General features: G+C 40.8%; 1 long non-coding RNA gene and 1 pseudogene across 1 annotated transcript in view; both read left to right on the forward strand.

Moving 5' to 3' along the window:
• USP2-AS1 (USP2 antisense RNA 1) overlaps nt 1-20,541 on the forward strand; it is a 117,456-nt gene that overhangs the window by 12,678 nt on the left and 84,237 nt on the right. Inside the window, exon 2 of the long non-coding RNA NR_034160.1 lies at nt 526-699. This is a non-coding gene — a long non-coding RNA (USP2 antisense RNA 1). The remainder of the gene's footprint in view (nt 1-525; nt 700-20,541) is intronic.
• LOC100130353 (solute carrier family 71 member 2 pseudogene) lies at nt 8,295-10,933 on the forward strand (annotated as a pseudogene).

Consider the following 20,541-nt stretch of genomic DNA (forward strand, 5'->3'; position numbering starts at 1 on the left):
CTTTTTAATAGTCACTCATTTTTATAAAAAATAGTCACAGTTAAATTTTTTTAACAAAATAAGTCTTGTTTCAATAAGGTAGATCTGATTATATAAGTGCAACACAGATATTAATTCCATGTAAGTTTTAAAATATGATATTTTAGTCAGTGCTTTGGTAATATCCAAGGGGCTTTACTGACTTTGTATCCATCAACTTTAGTTTTTTAAAACTATCTGGTATCAGCACTCCCTTAGCCACCCCGGCTGATGTCTCAGTAAGTTGTGTGCCTCTACAGTCCACTGGCTTTGGGCTCAGTTCAGCACTAGGACTCGCCTAGGAGTTGCAGTCCTTGTGACCTAGACTGCCTTTCAAGTTTCTTTAGAGCCCCAGAGCACTTTAGCCCATGGTGGCGAGGCTTGTGGGGAACTCAAGTTCACGCTGCTGGGATTGGCAATTCCCCTCTGGCTAGGGCTGCTTTAAATGCTCCCCCCATGGGTGGGCATTAACTGAGTTTGGTCTGGTTTTGTTTTCTGCTATAACAGGGCACCACTGAGTTCAGTACTTCAAAATTGCCGTGCTCTACCTCTCCCCAGTGCACAAAAACACTCTCCACACCAAGCTGCTGCTGCTGGGGGATGGAGGGATGGCGTCAGCGATTCAAGACTGTTTTTCCTACCTGTTCAGCACTTCTTTCAGCGATATGAAGTTAAATCCAGGTACTATGAGTGCTCACTTGATTTTTGTTTCTTATGAAGGAGCTTTTTGTGTGTGTGTGTGTGTGTGTAGATAGTTGTTAAATTGGTGTCCTTGCCAGGGAGGAGGGGACAATTAGTGGAGTCTCTTATTCTGCCATCTTGCTCTTCCTCAATATGCTCTTTCTTGCAGATCTTTTACAACTCTCTATATTTGTTCAGTTTGCATCTTACTTGTTTTCTTCTTTATTATTCTGGAACAATCCTCTTGTTTTTAAGATAACATCATTCTCTTTTTCCTTTAAAGGAAACACATTCCTTATATACTTTTTCTTGCTAAAAACTCATCTACTTTTAAAATACATTTTTTATATACAGTTGTTTTCTTTCTTTCTTTCTTTTTTTTTTTAGGAGTCTTCATTTGTCACCCAGGCTGGAATGCAGTGGTTCAATCTCAGCAGCTCACTGCAGCCTCTGCCTCTCAGGTTCCAATGGTTCTTGTGCCTCAGCCTCCCAAGTAGCTGGGATTACAGGCATGTGCCACCACACCCAGCTATTTTTTTTTTCTGTTTTTAGTAGAGATAGGGTTTTGCCATGTTGGCCAGGCTGGTCTTGAACTCCTGGCCTTAAGTGATTCACCTGCATTGGCCTCCCAAAGTGCTAGAATGACAGGCTTGAGCCCTGCACCCAGCTGAGTTATTTTCTTTCATCTTTACTACTTCTAGTGGTCTTTATTACATATATTAATTAGAATTCTTTTTTATTTTTATTTTTTTGAGATGAGGTCTCTGTCACCCGGACTGGGAGTGCAGTGGTGTGATCTTGCCTCACTGTAACCTCTGCCTTCTGGGCTCAAGTAATCCTTCTACTTCAGCCTCCTGAGCAGCTGGGACCACAGATGTACGCCACCATGCTGGGCTAATTTTTTATTTTTATTTTTTTTTAATTTTTGGTAGAAAAGGGGTTTTACCATGGTGCCTAGGTTTGTTTTTTTTTTTTTTTTCCCCTTTGAGACAGAGTTTCGCTTTGCTGCCCAGGCTGGAGTGCAGTGGCATGATCTCGGCACACTGAACCTCTGCCTTTGGGGCTCAAGCCATCTTCCCACCTCAGTCTCCCAAGTAGCTGGGACTACAGGCATGTGCCACCAAGCCTGGCTAATTTTTAAAATTTTTTGTAGAGATGGGGTCTCACTATGTTGCCCAGGCTGGTCTTGAACTCCTGGGCTCAAGTGAATTAAAATTCTTAAACACATTTTTTTTTTTTTTAGAGACAGGGTCTTGCTCTGTCACCCAGGCTGGAGTGTAGTGGTGTGTGATCATGGCTCACTGCAGCCTCAACCTCCTGGACTCAAGCAATCCTTCCACATCAGCCTCCTAAGTAGCTGGGACTATAGGTGCACACCACTGCACCCAGGTATTTAAACATTTTTTTTGTAGAGACAGAGTCTCATTATGTTGCTCAGGCCGGTTTCAAACTCCTGGGCTCAAGTGATTCTCTTGCTCTGGCCTCCGCAAGTGCTAGGATTACAGATGTGACCCACCACACCCAGCCTAAAATTCTTAACCCCTAGTAACCTTAATTTCTAGTGACAATTCCTTTCTAGTGGAAAGGAAGCACGTGATTTTGTAATTTTGATTTTTACAATTTTATTCCTTTTTATATTTTATTTTTTGCCTTTATTATTAGTTTTAATTGACAAATAATAATCATATATATTTATGGGATACAGTGTACTATTTTGATACATGTTTACAATGTAATCAGGGTAATTAGCATATCCATTACCTCAAGCATTTATCATTTCTTTGTGTTGAGAACATTCAAAATCTGCTCCTCTAGCTATTTTAATAATAAAATCAATTGTTGTTGGTTATAGTCATTCTATTGTGCAATAAAGCACTAAAACTTATTTCTCCTGTCTAACTGTACTTCTGAATCCATTAACAAACCTTTGGCTATTGCCCTATTTCCGCTACCCTCCCCAGCCTCTAGTAACAAGTATTCTAATCTCTACTTCTACAGGATCAATGTTTTTAGCTTCCACATATGAATGATAACAGTGTTACTTATCTTTCTGTGCCTGGCTTATTTTACCTAACATAATGTCCTCCAAGCTCATCTATGTTGCCACAAACGACAGAGTTTCTTTTCTTTTTTTTTTTTTTTTGAGACACTTTTGGTCTGTCACCCAGGCTGGAGTGCAGTAGTGCAATCATGGCTCACTGTAGCCTTTACCTCCCAGGCTCAAGTTATCCTCCCACTTCAGCCTCCCAAGTAGCTGGGACTACAGGAGTGCACCTCTATGCCCGGATAATTTTAAAATTTTTTTGTAGAGATGGGGGGTCTCATGTTTCTTAGTCTGGTCTTGAACTCCCAGACTCAAGAAATCCTCCTACCTTGGCCTCCCAAAGTGCTGAGATTACAGGCATGAGCCACTGTGCCCAGTTAGGATTTCAGATTTTTTTTTTAATGGCTAAACAGTGTTCCTTTGTGTGTACATACACCAGTTTTTCTCTATCCATTTATCTGTTGATAGGCATGTCACCTACAAAGGAAAACAGTAATTCTCCAGTAACAGATCTCAATCATAAGGAAATATATGAAATGTCAGAAAAAGAATTTAAAATAATAATCTTAGGGAAACTCAGTGAGACACAAGAGACTACAAATAGACAATTCAATGAAATCAGGAAAATAATTCATGATATGAATGAGAAATTTAACAGAGTATATAACAAAGGGTCCAATAAAAATCCTAGAGCTGTAGAATTCAATGAAGGAAATAAAAAATACAATGGAGATCTTTAACAACAGACTAGACCAAGCAGAAGAAAGAATTTCTAAACTTGAAGACAAGTCTTTTGAAATCACACAGGCAGACAAACAAAACAAAACAGAAAAAAAAGAAGAAAGCCTACAGGATTTGTGGGATACTATTAAGTGGACAAATATTCATATTATGGGCATTTCAGAAGGAAAAGAGAAGAGAAAAGGTGAGAAAAACATATTTAATGAAATAATAGCGAAAGACTCCCCAAGTCTTAGGAGAGAAATGGACATCTGGGTGCAGGAAGCTCAAATAACCCCAAATAGATTCAACCCAAACAGGTCCTCTCTGAGGCACATTATAGTCACATTGTCAAAGGTCAAAGACAAAGAAATAATTTAAAGCAGGAAGGGAAAAGTGTCAAGTCACATGTAAGAGAATCCTTATTAGACTAACAGTGGATTTCTCCCACCGGAAACCCTGTTACAGGCCAGGAGAGAATGGGATAGTATATTCAAAGTACTGAAAGAAAAAAGCTGTCAGCCAAGAATATATACCCAGCAAAGCTACTCTTCAGAAATGAAGGAGAAATAAAATCTTTCACAGATAAGCAAACACAGAGAGAATTCATTACCACTGGATCAGCTGTACAAGAAATGCTCAAAGGAGTTTTACATTGGGAAGAAACGACGATAACCACCATCATAAAAACATGCAAAACTATATAACTAATTGGTAGAGCTGATACATAAACAAGAAAGAGAAAGCAGTCAAATCTTATCACTACAGAAAACCACTCAATTCCAGACATAAGCAATAGGAGAGGAAGTAAGGAACAAACAATGTGCAAGACAATTAGAAAACAATAAAATGACAAAAGTAAGTCCTCACCTATAAATAATAACCTTGAATGTAAATGGACTAAATTTCCCATTTAAAAGATGTAGATCGAAGCTGGCTGTGGTGGCTCATACCTGTAATCCCAGCACTTTGGGAGGCCAAGACAGGAAGATTGCTTGATGCCAAAAGTTCAAGACCAGCCTGGACAACATATTGAGACCTCTTATTTAAAAAAAATTAAAGAATTAGCTGGGTGTGGTGGCACATGCCTGTAGTCCCAGCTACTTGGGAGGCTGAGGCAGGAGGATCACTTCAGCCCAGGAGTTTGAGGCTGCACTGAGCTATGATCATGTCACTGCACTCCTGCTTGAGCAACAGAGCAATCCCCTGCCTCTAAATAGATTAGATAGATAGATAGATAAAGATTAGCTGAATGGATTAAAAAAAAAAAGACCCAACTATATGCTGCCAGTGAGAAACTCACCTCACCTATAAAGATACACATAGACTGAAAGTGAAGGGATGGCAAAAGATATTTCATGTGAATGGAAACCAAAAGTGAGCAGGCATAGCTATACTTAGACAAAATAGGCTTTGAGTTAGAACCTGTAAAAAGAGAAAAAGAAGGATATTATATAATAGGGGATTAATTCAGCAAGAAAAATGTAACAGTTGTAAATACATATACACCCAACACTGGAGCACCCACATATATTAAGCAAGCATCATTAGATCTAAAAGGAAGATAAACCCTCAATACAACAATAGTTGGGGACTTCAACACCCCACTCTCAGCATTGGACACATCATCTAGACAAAATCAACAAAGAAACATCAGATTTAAACCGCATCATAGACTAAATGGATCTAACAACAGACATTTACAGAATGTTTCACCGAACAGCTGCAGAATATACATTCTTTTCATTAGCACATGGAATATTTTCCATGATTGACCATACATTAGGAGAGAAACAAGTTTCACAAAATTTGTTAAACAATTGAAATCATATTAAGTATTTTATCTGACTGTAATGGAATAAAACTAGACATCAAGAACAAGAGAAACATTTGATACTATACAAATACATGGGAATTAAACAACATGATCCTGAATGACTAAGTAAAGGAAGAAATTAGGAATGAAATTTAAAAATTTATTGAAACAAATGAAAATAGAGACACAACATAGCAAAACCTATGGGAGATAGCAAAAGCAGTAGCAAGAGGCAAGTTTATAGCAATAAATGCCTACACCAAAAAACTAGAAAATGGCTGGATGCCACGGCTCACATCTGTAATCCCAGCACTTTGAAGGGGCCAAGACAGGAGGATCATCTGAGGCCAGGAGTTTGAGACCAGCCTAGGCAACAGGTAGAGACCGTCTCTACCAAAAATAAAAAACTTAGCCAATTGTAGTGGTGCAAATTTGTAGTCCTAGCTACTTGGGAGGCTGAAGCAGAGGATCACTTAAGCCCAGGAGTTCAAGGCTGCAGTGAGCTATGCTTGCATCACTGTACTCCAGCTTGGGTGACAGAGTGAAACTCTATATCTTAAAAATAATAAAAAAAACCTAGAAATATTTCAAATAAACAACCTAACAATGCACCTCAAGAAACTGTAAAAGCAAAACTGAGTAAAGCCTAAAATTAGTAGAAGAAAATAAATAATAAAGACCAGAGCAGAAATAAATGAAGTTGAGACTAAAAAACCAATACAAATATCAACAAAACAACAAATTGTTTTTTTTGAGAAGATAAACAAAATTGACAAACTATTAGACTAAGAAAAAAAGGGAGAACACCCAAATAAAATCAGAATTGAAAAAGGAGATGTAACAATGGATGCCACAGAAATAAAAAGGATCATTAGAGACTACTCTGAACAACTATACACCAATAAATTTGAAAACCTAGAGGAATTGAGCAAATTCTTGGACACATACAAAGTACCAAGATTGAACCAAGAAGAAATAGAAATCCTGAAAGACCAAAAACAAGTAATGAAACTAAATCAGTAGTAAAAAGTCTTCTAACAAAGAAAAGTCCAGGACAGGATGGCTTCAGCATTCAATTCTACTGGACCTTTAAGGAATAATTAATACCAATTCTTCTCAAACTTTTCCAAAAATTTGAAGCTGGGGGAATTATTTGTAACTCATTCTATGAGACCAACATAATCCTGATATGAAAACCAGACAAGGACAAAACAGCAACAACAAAACTACAGGTCAATATCCCTGATGAATGTAGATGCAAAAATCCTCAACAAAATGCTAGCAAGCCAAATCCAACAACACATCAAAAGGATAATACACCATGATCCAGTGGGATTTATTCCAGGAATGCAAGGATGGTTCAATATATGCAAATCAATAAACATCATACATCATATCAATAGAATGAAGGACAAAAACATATGGTTCTCTCAATAGATGCAAAAAAAGCTTTTGATAAAATTCATCACTTTATGCTAAATACTCTTAATAGGTATAGAAGGAAAGTATCTCAACATAATAAAGGACATATATGACAAACCCACAGCTAACATTTTACTGAATGGGGAAAAGCTGAAAGTTTTTCCTCAAGAACTGGAACACAACAAGGATGCTCACTCTCACCACTTCTATTCAGTATAGTCCTGGAAGTCCTAGCCAGGGCAATTAGGCAAGGAAAAGGAAATAAAGGGCATCCACATTGGAAAGGAGGAAGTCAAATTGTCCCTCTTTGCAGTTGACATGATCTTCTGTACAGAAAAACCTTAAAACTCTAGCAAAAAATTCTTAGAACTGATAAACGAATTCAGTAAAGTTGCAGGATACAAAATTAATATAAAAAACCAGTAGCATTTTAATACATCAATGACAAATTAGCTGAAAAAGAGATCAAGAAGGCAGTCACATTTACAACTACAAAGTACTGATGAAAGAAACTGAAGAAGTTACAAATGAAAAGATATCTCATGTTCATGGATCAGGAGAATTAATATTGTTGAAATGACAATACTACCCAAAGCAATCTGCAGTTTCAGTGCAATCGCTATCAAAATACCAATGACATTCTGCACAGAAATAGAAAAAAAATCCCAAAATTTGTATGGACTCACAAAATATCCTGAATAGCCAAATCAATCTGGAACAAAAAGAACAAAACCGGAGGGATCACACTTCTAGACCTCAAGATATACTACAAAGCTGCAGCAACTCAGCATAGTACTGGCCTACAAAACAGACACATAGACCAATGAAACAGAATAGAGCACCCAGAAATTAATCCACCTATCTACAGCCAACTGATTTTTGACAAAGTTACCAAGAACACTCACTGGTGAAAGGACAGTCCCTTCAATGAATGGTGCTGGGAAAACTAGACATCCATATGCAGAAGAATGAAACTAGACCCCCACCTCTCACCATATACAAAAACCAACACAAAAAGGATCAGAGAACTAAATGTAAGACTGGAAATGATAAAACTACTAGAAGAACACATAGGGGAAACCCTTCAGGATATTGGCCTGGGAAAATATTTTATGAATAAGACCTCAAACAGACAGGCAACAAAAGCAAAAATAAACAAATGGGATTATCTCAAACTAAAAAGCTTCTGCACGGCAAAGGAACAACAAATTGAAAAGACAGCCTACAGAATGAGAGGAAATATTTGCAAACTATCTATCTGACAGGGGATTAATGTTCAGAATATACAAAGACCTGAAGTATCTCAATAGTAAAAAACCAGATGATACAATTAAAAAATTGGCAAATGATCTGAACAGACATTTCTCAAAAGAAGAGTCCAGAGAGAGCCTGGATGGGTGCGCTCAGTGCAGCAGCTCCTAGAGCTTCCTCCTTGGCTTCAGCCTTGCTGCTTAGGAAGGTGCAGGCCCTGCCACCATCTGCGTGGTGTAGTGGTGGTCCCCAAGTACCCCCAGCTGGCATGGGCCTGGCCGTGGCGTGAGCATGGAGCCCACGGGAGCCCCAGGCAGGAGTCTGGTGGGCCAGTAGCTCCAAGACCACATGGACACCATGCTGCCACTGCCATCTTCCTTCCTTCCTGGGGCCTGCTGACGCCTCCAGTGTTGGCTGTTCTGCACGAAACAATTCCTCAACACGTTCCTTAGGCATGGTCTCCTTCAAGGTGTAAAGGGCTTGTTCTCTTCCCAGTTCCCTGCTCATATGTACCCTAGCCAACGTGTGGAGCAAGAAACAATTTCTCCTCTGCACTGTCTTCTTTCCCTGCTCCCCAGTCCCACTAATGAGGATCAGCCCATGGTGGTATTTTGCTATTATTTCTGTGTCTGGTGTCTTCTCAGCCCCATTCTCTGTGATGTTTACTTGTGTAGCTGATGTCACTCAGGAGCAGAGCAAAGTACTGCTCATGGCTGGGCCTCAGCCACCTTTATAGCTCCTCTGGGCAACAGCCCGGCCATCGGAACACACCTTTCTGCCAGCTGTGGAGACAGCCTCGGGCTGGTTGCTGCAAGGCTTGCTCTCTGGACAGCTGCTTCATCTTAGTGGCTGTTCTGGAATCTCTGTCTGAGAAAATGAGACAGTTTCCCGGGGAGTTCAGATTTCTTGGAAACAAGCTGTCTCTTTTGCGTCATTGAAGAAAGTTGGAAAAAAATTCTACTGTCTTACTAACCTGCATCACTGTGTTTCTTGCATGCCTTCCTGAAGCAGGACAGTGTTTAAGTTTTTTTTTTTTTTTTTTTTTTATCTCATGCAGGTCATAGGTTTTGGATCTGTTGAAATTGCAGCATTCATAGCTATGGTAGAAATTGTTTGTTATGGCTCAGATGGTCTTTCTTACCATCTTGATGAGATCATTAGGGAATAAGAATATTGTCTTCCTTGGCATGGGCTTTTAGAGACTCCAGTTAGCTCAGTATGCTTTTGGATCTGAAGCCTGGATGATGTGGTCAGTGGGGACTGTGGCCACCATGTTCACCATTACATTTCCAGTAATCAATGCCTTTGTCTCTCAGAATGCAGAGTCAGATTGGCAAGGAGTTGCCTAAGAGATCGTAACTGGAATAAGAGGACTATGCAATGGTCTGGGGCCAGCACTGTATGGCTTCATATTCTACATGTTCCATGTGGAACTGACCAGATCGGGCCCGAAATTGAATACTAACGATGTTACCCTGCAGGGAGCTGTCATCCCAGGCCTGCCATTTTTACCTGGGCATGTACAGTTCCTATGTCTTTTCTGGTTGCCTTATTCATCCCTGAATACAGGAAAGGCAGGGGAGTTCAAAAATATAGCAGCAGTGGCAGTGACAGCCTGACCAACATCCCAGAATGGGGCAGTGATGAGGACAGTGAGCCACTGCTGCAAGACAGTAGCATCTGGGAGCTCTCTTTGTTCAAGGAGCCTGAGAATCAGTGCACTGAAATATAACTTGGCAGAAAAAGGGGATCCCATCTCTGAGAGCCAGGTGGGAACCACACCACATGGAGACTTTGTGGTGCTGGATGGGAGGGCCAAGTTTTGTAAATACCCACTCTATCCTTCTCCACTTCCTCCTCTCCCTCCTCTTATTCTTTTTCTTTCTGTTCGTACATTAGAATAAGGTAAGGTTTGGAATACTTCTCTGCAAATAATGTGCAACTCTCAAGGTAAAACTCAAATAGAAAAGTCATGTCTCTGGGAGAAAGGATGGCTTTTCTGTAATGACTCTGAAGTAAGAGTGACAACAGTCTTTCCATGCCCTTTCCAGCAGAAGGTGCAGGATTGGAGGGGGACTGCCATATTTGGCAAGATTTCAGGTAAAGAATCCCTTCTTATTTTCTTCCTTCTTGTTTCTCTTAATTAGTCCATAGGTGCTGAGTGGCCACTCTTAAGAGTCACTCAGGAATCTATTGCCTTTGTTCAAAGGTCAAATGAAAACCTAGTTTTACTCTCCTTTTACTTTCTCTACTTCCTATTCTTGGCTAGAATGAAACTCAACATATATACATCTCTGGACATTAATAATATTTAATAGTGATTACCTTTATTATATGAAGGAGCTTTTTCTTATAAATTTAAATCGTGTAGAACTTGCAACTCAGATTTATGAACTTAGTAACCTGATAGGATCCAAGGTGATTTTACAGAAGGAAAAAAACCCCTCAAGCATTCTGGTGGCAATATAGAAAGTGGAGGGTGCTTCCAAGAAAGTTTTTAAAATTTTGAAATTCCTAAGCGAGAATGAGAGTTAGTCAGTAGATACTAGTAGAGTTTATATCCAAGTTCAGACTCACAATGCATTATTATGATTTGCTCCTTCCCATGTCTCCCATGTCCTGCTTCTCAAGCAATTTTTCTCATCTGTCACACTCCTGCCTTAACTGCTCTGTGGTATGTGTTTGTTTTCAATTAATCTTTATTTCAATCTGTTTATCTGACTTTTGAATCTCATGGAATGCTGCACATCAAATTCCTTTCCGAAATATTGTGGTTTTATGAAGCTCAGTTTCACAATGAATGTCTTGATAATTTCTTGAGATGTTTTGTGGACAAAGAAAACTACAAATTTATATGTATTTTGCTGCACCAGTAAATGGACTGCTAGCTAGGGCCCACCTTTAACAGAGCACTCCTTTGAAAGTTTTATGGATATAAAATATATGTAGATATTTGTAAGGGGTTTTACTTTTTTTTTTTTTTTAGACAGAGTTTCGCTCTTGTTGCCCAGGCTGGAGTGCAATGGCGCGATCTCAGCTCACTGCAACCTCTGCCTCCCGGGTTCAAGCGATTCTCCTGCCTCAGCCTCCCCAGTAGCTAGGATTACAGGCATGTGCCAACATGCCTGGCTACTTTTGTATGTTTTTTAGTAGAGGTGAGATTTCACCATGTTGGTCAGGCAGGCCTTGAACTCCTAACAAGTGATCCACCTGCCTCGGCCTCCCGAAGTGCTGGGATTACAGGCATGAGCCACCGTGCCCGGCCAGGGGTTTTAATTTTTGATGGGGTGCTGTGTAAATCTTGTTTTTATAAATGTAATGAAGGTATTTTTAAATTTTTGAGACAGGCTATCACTCTGTCATTCAGGCTGAGTGCAGTGGCACAGTCTCTGCTCACTGCAACCTCTGCCTCCTGGGCTCAAGCTATCCTCCCACCTCAGCCTTCCAAGCAGCTGGGACTACAGGCATGTGCCACCACTCCCGTCTAATTTTTGTATTTTTTGTAGAGATGGGGTTTCACCATGTTGCCCAGGCTGGTCTAGAACTCCTGGGCTTAAGCAATCCACCTGTCTCGGCCTCCCAAAGTGCTGAGATTATAGGCGTGAGCCATTGTACCTGGCATAACGAAGGTATTAACAGAAAAAAACAAAAAACAACTCTTATAAAAAAAAAAAAAGACATACAAATGGCTGACAAAAACATAAAAAATGCTCACTATCACTAGTCACTAGGGGAATGCAAATCAAAACCACAATGAGGTATCATCTCACCCAGTTAGGATGGCTATAATCAAGTAGACAGAAAATGACAAATGCTGGCAAGGATGTAGGGAAAAGGGAACTCATATGCTGTTGGTGGGAATGCAAATTAGTATAACCATTATGCTGTGGGGCGTGTGGAGGTTCCTTAAAAAACTACAAATAGAACTACCATATGATCTGGCAGTCCAACTACTGGGAATTTATCCAAAGGAAAAAAAAATCATTATATTGGAGAGACACCTTGCACCCCCATGTTTATTGCAGCACTATTTATGATAGCTAAGATATGGGCTCAACCTAGGTGTCCAACAACAGATGAATGGATAAAGAAAATGTGGTATATAAACACCATGGCATACTATTCAGCCATAAAAAGAATGAAATCCTGTCATTCATGGCAATGTGGATGGAACTGGAGGATATTATGTTAAGTGAAATAGGCCAGGAATAGAAAGTTAAACACTGCATGTTCTTATTCATATGTGGAAGCTAAAAAAAGTTGATCTCCACTTTGGGAGGCTGAGGCGGGCGGATCACGAGGTCAGGAGATCGAGACCATCCTGGCTAACACAGTGAAACCCCGTCTCTACTAAAAATACAAAAAATTAGCCGGGTGTGGTGGCGGGTGCCTGTAGTCCCAGCTACTCGGGAGGCTGAGGCAGGAGAATGGTGTGAACCCGGGAGGTGGAGCTTGCAGTGAGCTGAGATCGCGCCACTGCACTCCAGCCTGGGCGACAGAACAAGACTTCGTCTCAAAAAAAAAAAAAAAAAAAAAAAGTTGATCTCATAGAAACAAAAAGTAGATAACAGAGGATATTGGAGGCTGGGAAGGGTAGAGGGAATGTGGGGATGGAGAGACTTCTTAAAGGATACAAAATTACAAGCTAGACAGGAGGAATAAGTTCTAGTGTTCTATAGCAGCTGTCCCCAACCTTTTTGGCACCAGGGACCAGTTTCATGGAAGACAGTTTTTCCATGGACTGGGTGAGGGGCTGCGGCAGATGGTTTCAGGATGAAACCATTCCACTTTAGATCATCAGGCATTAGTTAGATTCTCATAAGGAGCGTGCAGCCTAGATCCCTCGCTTGCACATTTCACAATAGGGTTCACGCTCCTGTGAGAATCTAATGCTGATGTGACGGGAGGCGGGGCTCAGGTGGTAACGCTCACTCTCCTGCTGCTCACCTCCTGCTGTGTTGTTGGGTTCCTAATAGGCCATGGATTGGTACAGGTCCATGGCCCGGGGGCTGGGGAACCCTGTTCTACAGCACTGCGGGATGACTATAGTTAGCAACAATATACTCTATAGTTTCAAATAGCTAGAAGGAGGATATTGAATGTTCCCAACACAAATAAATGATTAATGTTTGAGATGGATATGCTAATTATCCTGATCTTATCAGCATACATTATATGTATCAAAATATCACTATGTACTCTATGAATGTATGCAATAATCATAATAATTATTATTATTCGAGACAGGGTATTGCTGTGTTGCCCAGGCTGGAGTGCCCAGGCTGGAGCCATCATAGCTCACTGGAGCCTCGAACTCAGGCTCAAGCTATCCTCCTGCCTTGGCCTCCCAAAGTGCCAGGATTACAGGCATGAGCCACCATGCCCAGCCTGTATAATTATTATTTGTCAATTAAAAATTAAAATAAATTGAAAAATTTTTAAAAGAGCAAGAGATCACAGAGGTTAGTGAGTTCAGAATAATTTTTCATTAGCAGGCAGTAGAGATTCCTTTAGAGGGCCTACTTTAAAAAAAAGTCATTCTGTCTTTTAGAAACCTCTGTATACTAATAAAAATGTATCTCATTGTTTCTGAGGCCTTCAAGATCCTCCCCTTTTTTTCTAATGCACACATAAATGAATCTTTCTTTTTTGTTTTTTTGAGACAGGGTCTTGCTCTTTGCCCAGGCTGCAGTACAGTGGCACAAACACAGCTCACTGCAGCCTCGACCTCCTGGGCTCAAGTGATCCTCTCATCTCAGCCTCCTAAGTAGCTGGGACTACAGGGGCACACCACCACACCCAGCTAATTTTTGTATTTTTTGTAGAGACAGGGTTTCACCATGTTGCCCAGGCTGGTCTCAAATTCCTGAGCTCAAGCGATCTACCTGCCTCGGCCTCCCAAAGTGCTGGTATTACAGGCATGAGTCACTGCACTCAGCCCAAATAAAATCTCATCTAGAATAAAACTTCCCCATTGTGGTTGCTGTCATTCTGCTAATCTTCCTGAGGTATACCTGTTTCTCTAGAAAGGCACAGGTTCTGGGCCCATAATTTCTGAACATAAAATTAGCTGGAGTTCTAGATGGAGGAGTCCTAGACTCCTTAGATTCTGACAATCTAAATTCTGTCCTAAAATTGTGCTTTCCTGAGGTCTCCAGCTAGATCCAGTTCAGTTCCTGTTGAACACCCAGTTTGATTTCTGGATTCCAGTCTGGATTCCAGATGTAGACTGAATACAATCCAGTTCCTGTCAAACATCCAGGTCAACCCTTGGATCCAATCATAAATAAAATTACTTGAATTCAGAGAGTTCAGGATGCAAATTGCAGAGGCAGAAATCCAAGAGGGACTTATCTGGGACCTCCAGAAGCTGTGAGAAAGCAGGGAGCTCAAGGGGCTCCGTGGGTACCTTTTGCCTGGTTCCTTGATGTTCCCGGAGGCCCTCTGCTGCCATTAGCCAGAGAAGTTTCTCTGCTTTTAAGGGCTCATGTTATTCAATTATGACTACCCAGATCATCTTATCTCTGTCTCTGAGGATCAGCTATGCCATATAACGAAACACAGTCATGGAAGTAAAATCTCATCACATTCAGTTTCCATGCATTGGATGTGGAATCTCAGGAGGCTATTTTTAGAATTCTGCTACCACTCCCACTTTCTGATATGACTATTTTATATTAGCTCTTTTTATCAAACTTTCCCCCGCCTCCTCTCCATATTCCCACCATCTCATTCGGCTGATGACTTTGCCATATACTTCCTTGAGAAAGGAGAGAACACTTATATGCAAAGCCAAGAAACTTCAACTTCACAAAATTTCCACTTCCTTACCCATCTTCTTTAACTTTTTTTTAAATAACTTTTTTTTTTTTTTTTTTTTGGTAGAGATGTGGTCCTGCTATGTTGCCCAGGCTGGTCTCAAACTTCTGGCCTCAAGTGATCATCCCATCTCAACTTCCCAAAGTGCTGGGATTATAGGCATGAGCTGCTGCACCCACCTTTCTTTGCCTTTAATTCTAGCTCTTGCCTTTCCAAAGACTCTAATTCTTCGCTTTCTTCTCCCTCTTATTCATCAGTCTTTCCCTGTCTCCAGGCATCATCGCCATCAACATACAGCCATACTCCAGGATTGCCCATCTTCAACATAAACGGACTCTCCTGGACTCCACTTCCCACATCAGTCACAGCCACACTTCCTGAGAAAGAAGTCTACACTCTTCATTCACTTTCATTCACCCACTTCCAACCTGGCTCCTGTTACCACTGGACCGTCAAAAGTGACTCTTGTCAAAGTCACTATTCTGGCTACCTATTGCTGTGTAATAACCTCCTCAAAATTTAGTATCTTTAAAAAACAATTTATTATGTCTCATACTTCTGTGGTTGACTGGGCTCAGCTGGGAAATTCTTCTTGGGGTCTGTTTCTCATGAGGTTGCAGTCAACAGCTGGGACTGGAGTCGTCTGAAGCCTCAGCTGAGCTGGACATCCAAGATGGCTCACTCACATGGCTGGCAGTGGATGGTGGCTGTTGGGTGGGAGCTTAGCTTGTGCTGGCAACTTGAGTGCCTATATGTGGCCACTCTGTGTGGCTTGGGCTTCTCAGAATGGCAGCTGGGTTCCAGGAGGGAGTGTCCCAGGAGTGAGCATTCCAGGAGAACCAGGTGGAAGCTGCAAGACTTCTTATGAGCCAGGCTTGGAAGTCATGCCATGTGACTTCTACTATATACTGTTGGTCATAAGCAAGACAAGGCCATGCCAGATTCAACAGAAGGGATTACCCAGGGGCCCAGTTTACATAGGAGGCCATCTTTGGAGACTAGCTACCATAGTCACCAGCGCATTGGTCCTCATCTTACTTGACTTCATAGCAGTTGACCCAGTTGATCACTGTTTTTCAAAACTCTCCCTTCTTTGGCTCCACAGACCCCTGGATTTCCTCTTTCTTCACTGACTGCTCTTTAATCTCTTTTGCACCCTCAAAAGCCTAAATATTGGACTGTCTCAGATTCTACTCTGGGCCTAGAATTATAGAATTATTCCTCTGTCATGTCTGCCTGCATGATCTTACTCGTCCCATGGTCGATGTCTACCATCCAAATAAAATTTCCAGCATACTTTTGTTTCTAGCCTGGACCTCTTACCTCTTGCTCAGGACTGGGATATCCAGCTGTTTTCTTGATGCTTCCATTTGGATGTCTAATGGGCATCACAGATTTAATATATCTGCTTTCCCACCTCAATGCTTCCCCAGCCTTTTCTTTCTCAACAGATGTCGTCATCATCCACTTGTTCAAACAAGAGCCCAAGGATCATCCTAGATTCCTTCTCACTTCCTCTCAATCCATCCCTGAAACAGCCAAACCACCAGTAAGCAAGTCCTGTGGGGTTTTTTTTTTTTTGCCAAACATTTAAGGTATTTCTTTAGATATATTTGATTTATATTGTTTAGCAAACCAATACATTTATAGTGACAAAAAAGTATTACTAGTTTTATAATATAAAAGCAGTCTGTTACCCCATCCTAAATTCTTACTCCCCAAAGCAACCCTCTCAACTCTAGCTATTTCTTCTGCTATTTACTTCTATGTTTAAAAATTTCTCTCATATATATGTATATATATATATAAAGTGTATATATATAAAGTATGTAACATATAAAAGTATATAAAGTATATTTTATACATATAGAACTATTTCTTGATTTTTTTTTCAGTGTTAAGTAGGATCTATTGACATTTCTTTTTTTTTTTTTTTTGAGGTGGAGTTTCGCTCTTGTTGTCCAGGCTGGAGTGCAGTGGCATGGTCTCAGCTCACTGCAACCAAAGCTCCCGGGTTCAAGTGATTCTCCTGCCTCAGCCTCCTGAGTAGCTGGGATTACAGGCATGTGCCACCACACCCAGCTAATTTTTGTATTTTTAGTAGAGATGGGGTTTACCATGTTGGCCAGGCTGGTCTCAAACACCTGACTTCAAGTGATCCACCTGCCTTGACCTCTCAAAGTGCTGGGATTACAGGTGTGAACCACCATGCCCAGCCTCTGTTGACTTTCAACTATGGAAAATGTGGTTTTAGCTTTCTTATATGCCCATTTTCTCCTTCACCAAATACATACACTTAACCTTTTCCCATCCTCCAATATATCGTCATCATAATTTTTGGTTAAAATCCCTATTTAGTGTTACCTTAGTCCATTCATACTGCTATGACAAAATACCACAGACTGGGCAGCTTATAAACAACAGAAATTTATTTCTCAGAGTTCTAGAGGCTGGGAAGTCTAAGCTCTAGGTGCTGCAGACTTAGTACCTGTTGAGGGCCCACTTTCTGATTTATAGACAGCGTCTTCTTGCTGTGGCCTCATGTAGTGGAAGGAGTATGGGATCTCTGTGGGGCCTCTTTTATAAGGAGACTAATCTCATTCATTAGGGGTTCACCCTGATGACCTAATCACCTCCCAAAGAGCCCACCTCCAAATATCATCACCTTGGGGTTTAGGATTTCAAAAGATGAATTTTGAATTTTGAGTGACACAAACATTCAGACCAAAGGGAATGTTTATATCAGTATGACTACGTAAATATTATTCACAGTAAATCCATCTAACCTGTTATGAGCATTCTTTTCTCCTCCCTCTGGAGTTAAATATTTGCCATCTTTTTTTTTTTTTGGGTTGTGTTGAAAATTTAAAATATTTAAAAATATTTAAAGTAAATTATAGGTTTACAAGAAATTGCATAAATAGTACAGAGAGGTCTTGTCTGTACCCTTGGGGTGCAGAGGTTAGAGGTCTCATGTACCCTTCACCCAGTTTCCCCCAATGGCAACATTTTGTATAATTGGAGTACAGTATCAAAACTGGAAATTGATATTGGTAAAATCCACAGACCTTATTTAGATTTCCCCAGTCCTCTCTGTTTTAACTCTAAACGTATCTTGAAGTCACCGCTTCTGTCTATCTTAACCACTACAACTTTTGTCAAAGTTGCTGTCATCTATTTTAGGACCATGGCAATGTCCTCCTGATTTCTTGTTCTACTGTCATTCTCCTTTATGTTTCTACAGAGCAGCAAGAGGGATCTTATAAAAATATGACCAGATCACATCCTTCAACACTTCCCTGTTACCCTTACAATAAAATTCAAACTCTTCACCATGACCTCCAAGGCTCCTATTGAATCCGGCTCTTGTCTGCCTCTTCAGTAACATCATGGACCACTCCTTACCATTCCCTCCATCTGGCTGTGCTTCCTGCAGCTCTTCCAATGGCTGGCTTGTTCTCACCTTTGAAGTCTCAGCTCAAAGGACACTCCCTTGGGCTCTCCCTCATCACCCTAACTAATAGGTCACTTAATATTGTTATTATTTTTTAGAGACAAAGTCTCACTATGTCACCCAGGCTTGCCTCAAACTCCTGGGCTCAAGCAATTCTCCCACCTTGGCCTCTCAAAGTTCTAGGATTACAGGCGTGAGCCACTATGCCTGGCTATGTCACTTATTATTCTTTATTATCTTCTATATATAAATGATCCCAATCTATAATTATTTGATTTATTGATTGGTTTACTTGCTTAATATCCAACTCCCATACTAGAATATAAATGTTATAGAACAAGAGATTGTCTGTACCATCCACTGTTCTAGTCTCATTACCCCACATAAGGCCTGGCATGGAGTGTGCACCTAATAAATGTTTGAATAAATATTGACTGGATCAGGGATTCTTCTGATGGGCCTGTGTGCTCTAAGAGCTGTTATATCCACCAGCAGTTGTGTGTTAACCTAGAGAGGAGCTAAGTCCTGTCCTCAGACTGAACCCACGATGGCTTCCTCTCCCTTTTCCCTGGTTTTGCAGAGTATAGAAGAAATAACATAAAATTTCTTTTTTTGCAATTAGTTTGCAAAATAGTAGAGGCTGCTTTTTGCACTCTTACTCATGACTCCTCCTCTGGGAAGCCGCTGTCGCCTGGCAAAAGGGCCCTACATATGTGTTCCCACAGCACTTTGATAAGGTGTAATTTATATTCAATGAAATTCACCTATTTTAAGTGCACAGTTTGATGAGTTTTGATAAAGGTAACCACTCCAAAGAGTTTCCTGGTGCCTTGGCTTCTTCTATTTCTTTAATATCGTGATAAAATACACTGAATATAAAATTTACCATCTCAGCCACCTTTAAGTGTACGATTCAGGCTGGGTGTGGTGGCTCACACCTGCAATCCCAGCACTTTGGGAGGCTGAGGGGGGAGGATCACTTCAGCCCAGGAGTTTGAAACCAGCCTGGGCAACATAGTGAAACCCCACCTCTATTTTTAAAAAAGTATACGGTTCAGTGGCATTATGTACATTTGCACTGTTGTGCTGCCATCGCCACCACCCATCCATGGAACTGTTTTCATCTTGCAAATCCAAAACTCTGTGCCCATTAAACAATAACTCCCCATTCCCTTTCCCCACAGCTCCTGGCAACCACCATTCTATTTTCTATCTCTATTAATTTGACCTTTGGCTTCTTTTAAAAAGTTGTGGTTAAAAAGTTATAAATTACAATCTTAACCATTTTTAAGTGTAAGATTCAGCAGTGTTAAGTAGCAGCTTTTTTTTTTTTTTTTTTTTTTTGAAGACAGGGTCTCATTCTGTTACCCTGGAGTGTGGTGGTGTGATCTTGGCTCACTGAAGCCTCAAACTCCCAGGCTCAATCAATCCTCCCACCTCAGCTACCTGAGTAGCTGAGACTACAGACATGTGCCATCATGCCCAGCTAATTTTTGTATTTTTTGTAGAGATGGGGTTTTGCCACCTTGCCCAGGCTCACCTTGAACTCCTGGGCTCAAGCAATCCACCCGCCACAGCCTCCCAAAGTGCTGAGATTACAGGCGTTAGCCACTGTGCCGGGCCTGCAGTTTCTTTTTAAGGTAGTTTTAGGTTTAGTTAGCGATGAATGCAGAAAAGCCCAAATAACAGTCACTTAAATAAGGTTGTCCACGGCTTCCCTGACAGCTCCACCATCATGGAGGACTCAGGCTCCTATCTTGTGCTTTGTCATTTGTAACACACAACTTCCATCTATCTCATAGTACAAAATAGCTGCTCCAGTTCCAGCCATCACCTCCACATTCCAGCTAGCATAAGGTGAAAGTGGGAGAAAGGCACACTTTCTCTCTTTTAGAGCTCTTCACAGAAATTACACATACTATTTTGTGCTTATATCCCATTGGACAGAACTTAATCACATAGGCCCATCTCACTGCAATGGAACTGGGAAATAGTCTTTCTTCTGGATCACACATTTCAGTTCTAGTTTATGGGTCCCATTGCTGAGAAGGAAGAGGATAATGCATGTTGGGGAACCCCCACTGGTGTCTTCCACAACTTCCCCTCCTCATAGTGCTGATCACTGCACTGAAATTGATTCCTCCCTCTTATTGGACTGTGGACCCCTTCAGTTAGGGGCTTGTGTCTTTTATAGCTTAGCACAGAGCCAGGTGCATTTAGATGCTTAATGTTTGTTGTACAAATACATGATTTCAGCCCAGTCAGCTTATTTTAAGAATTATTGTTTTTATTATTTTTTTGAGACAAGGTCTCACA

The sequence above is a fragment of the Homo sapiens genome, chromosome 11 (genome assembly GCF_000001405.40).
Source record: "Homo sapiens chromosome 11, GRCh38.p14 Primary Assembly".
Classification (NCBI taxonomy): domain Eukaryota; kingdom Metazoa; phylum Chordata; class Mammalia; order Primates; family Hominidae; genus Homo; species Homo sapiens.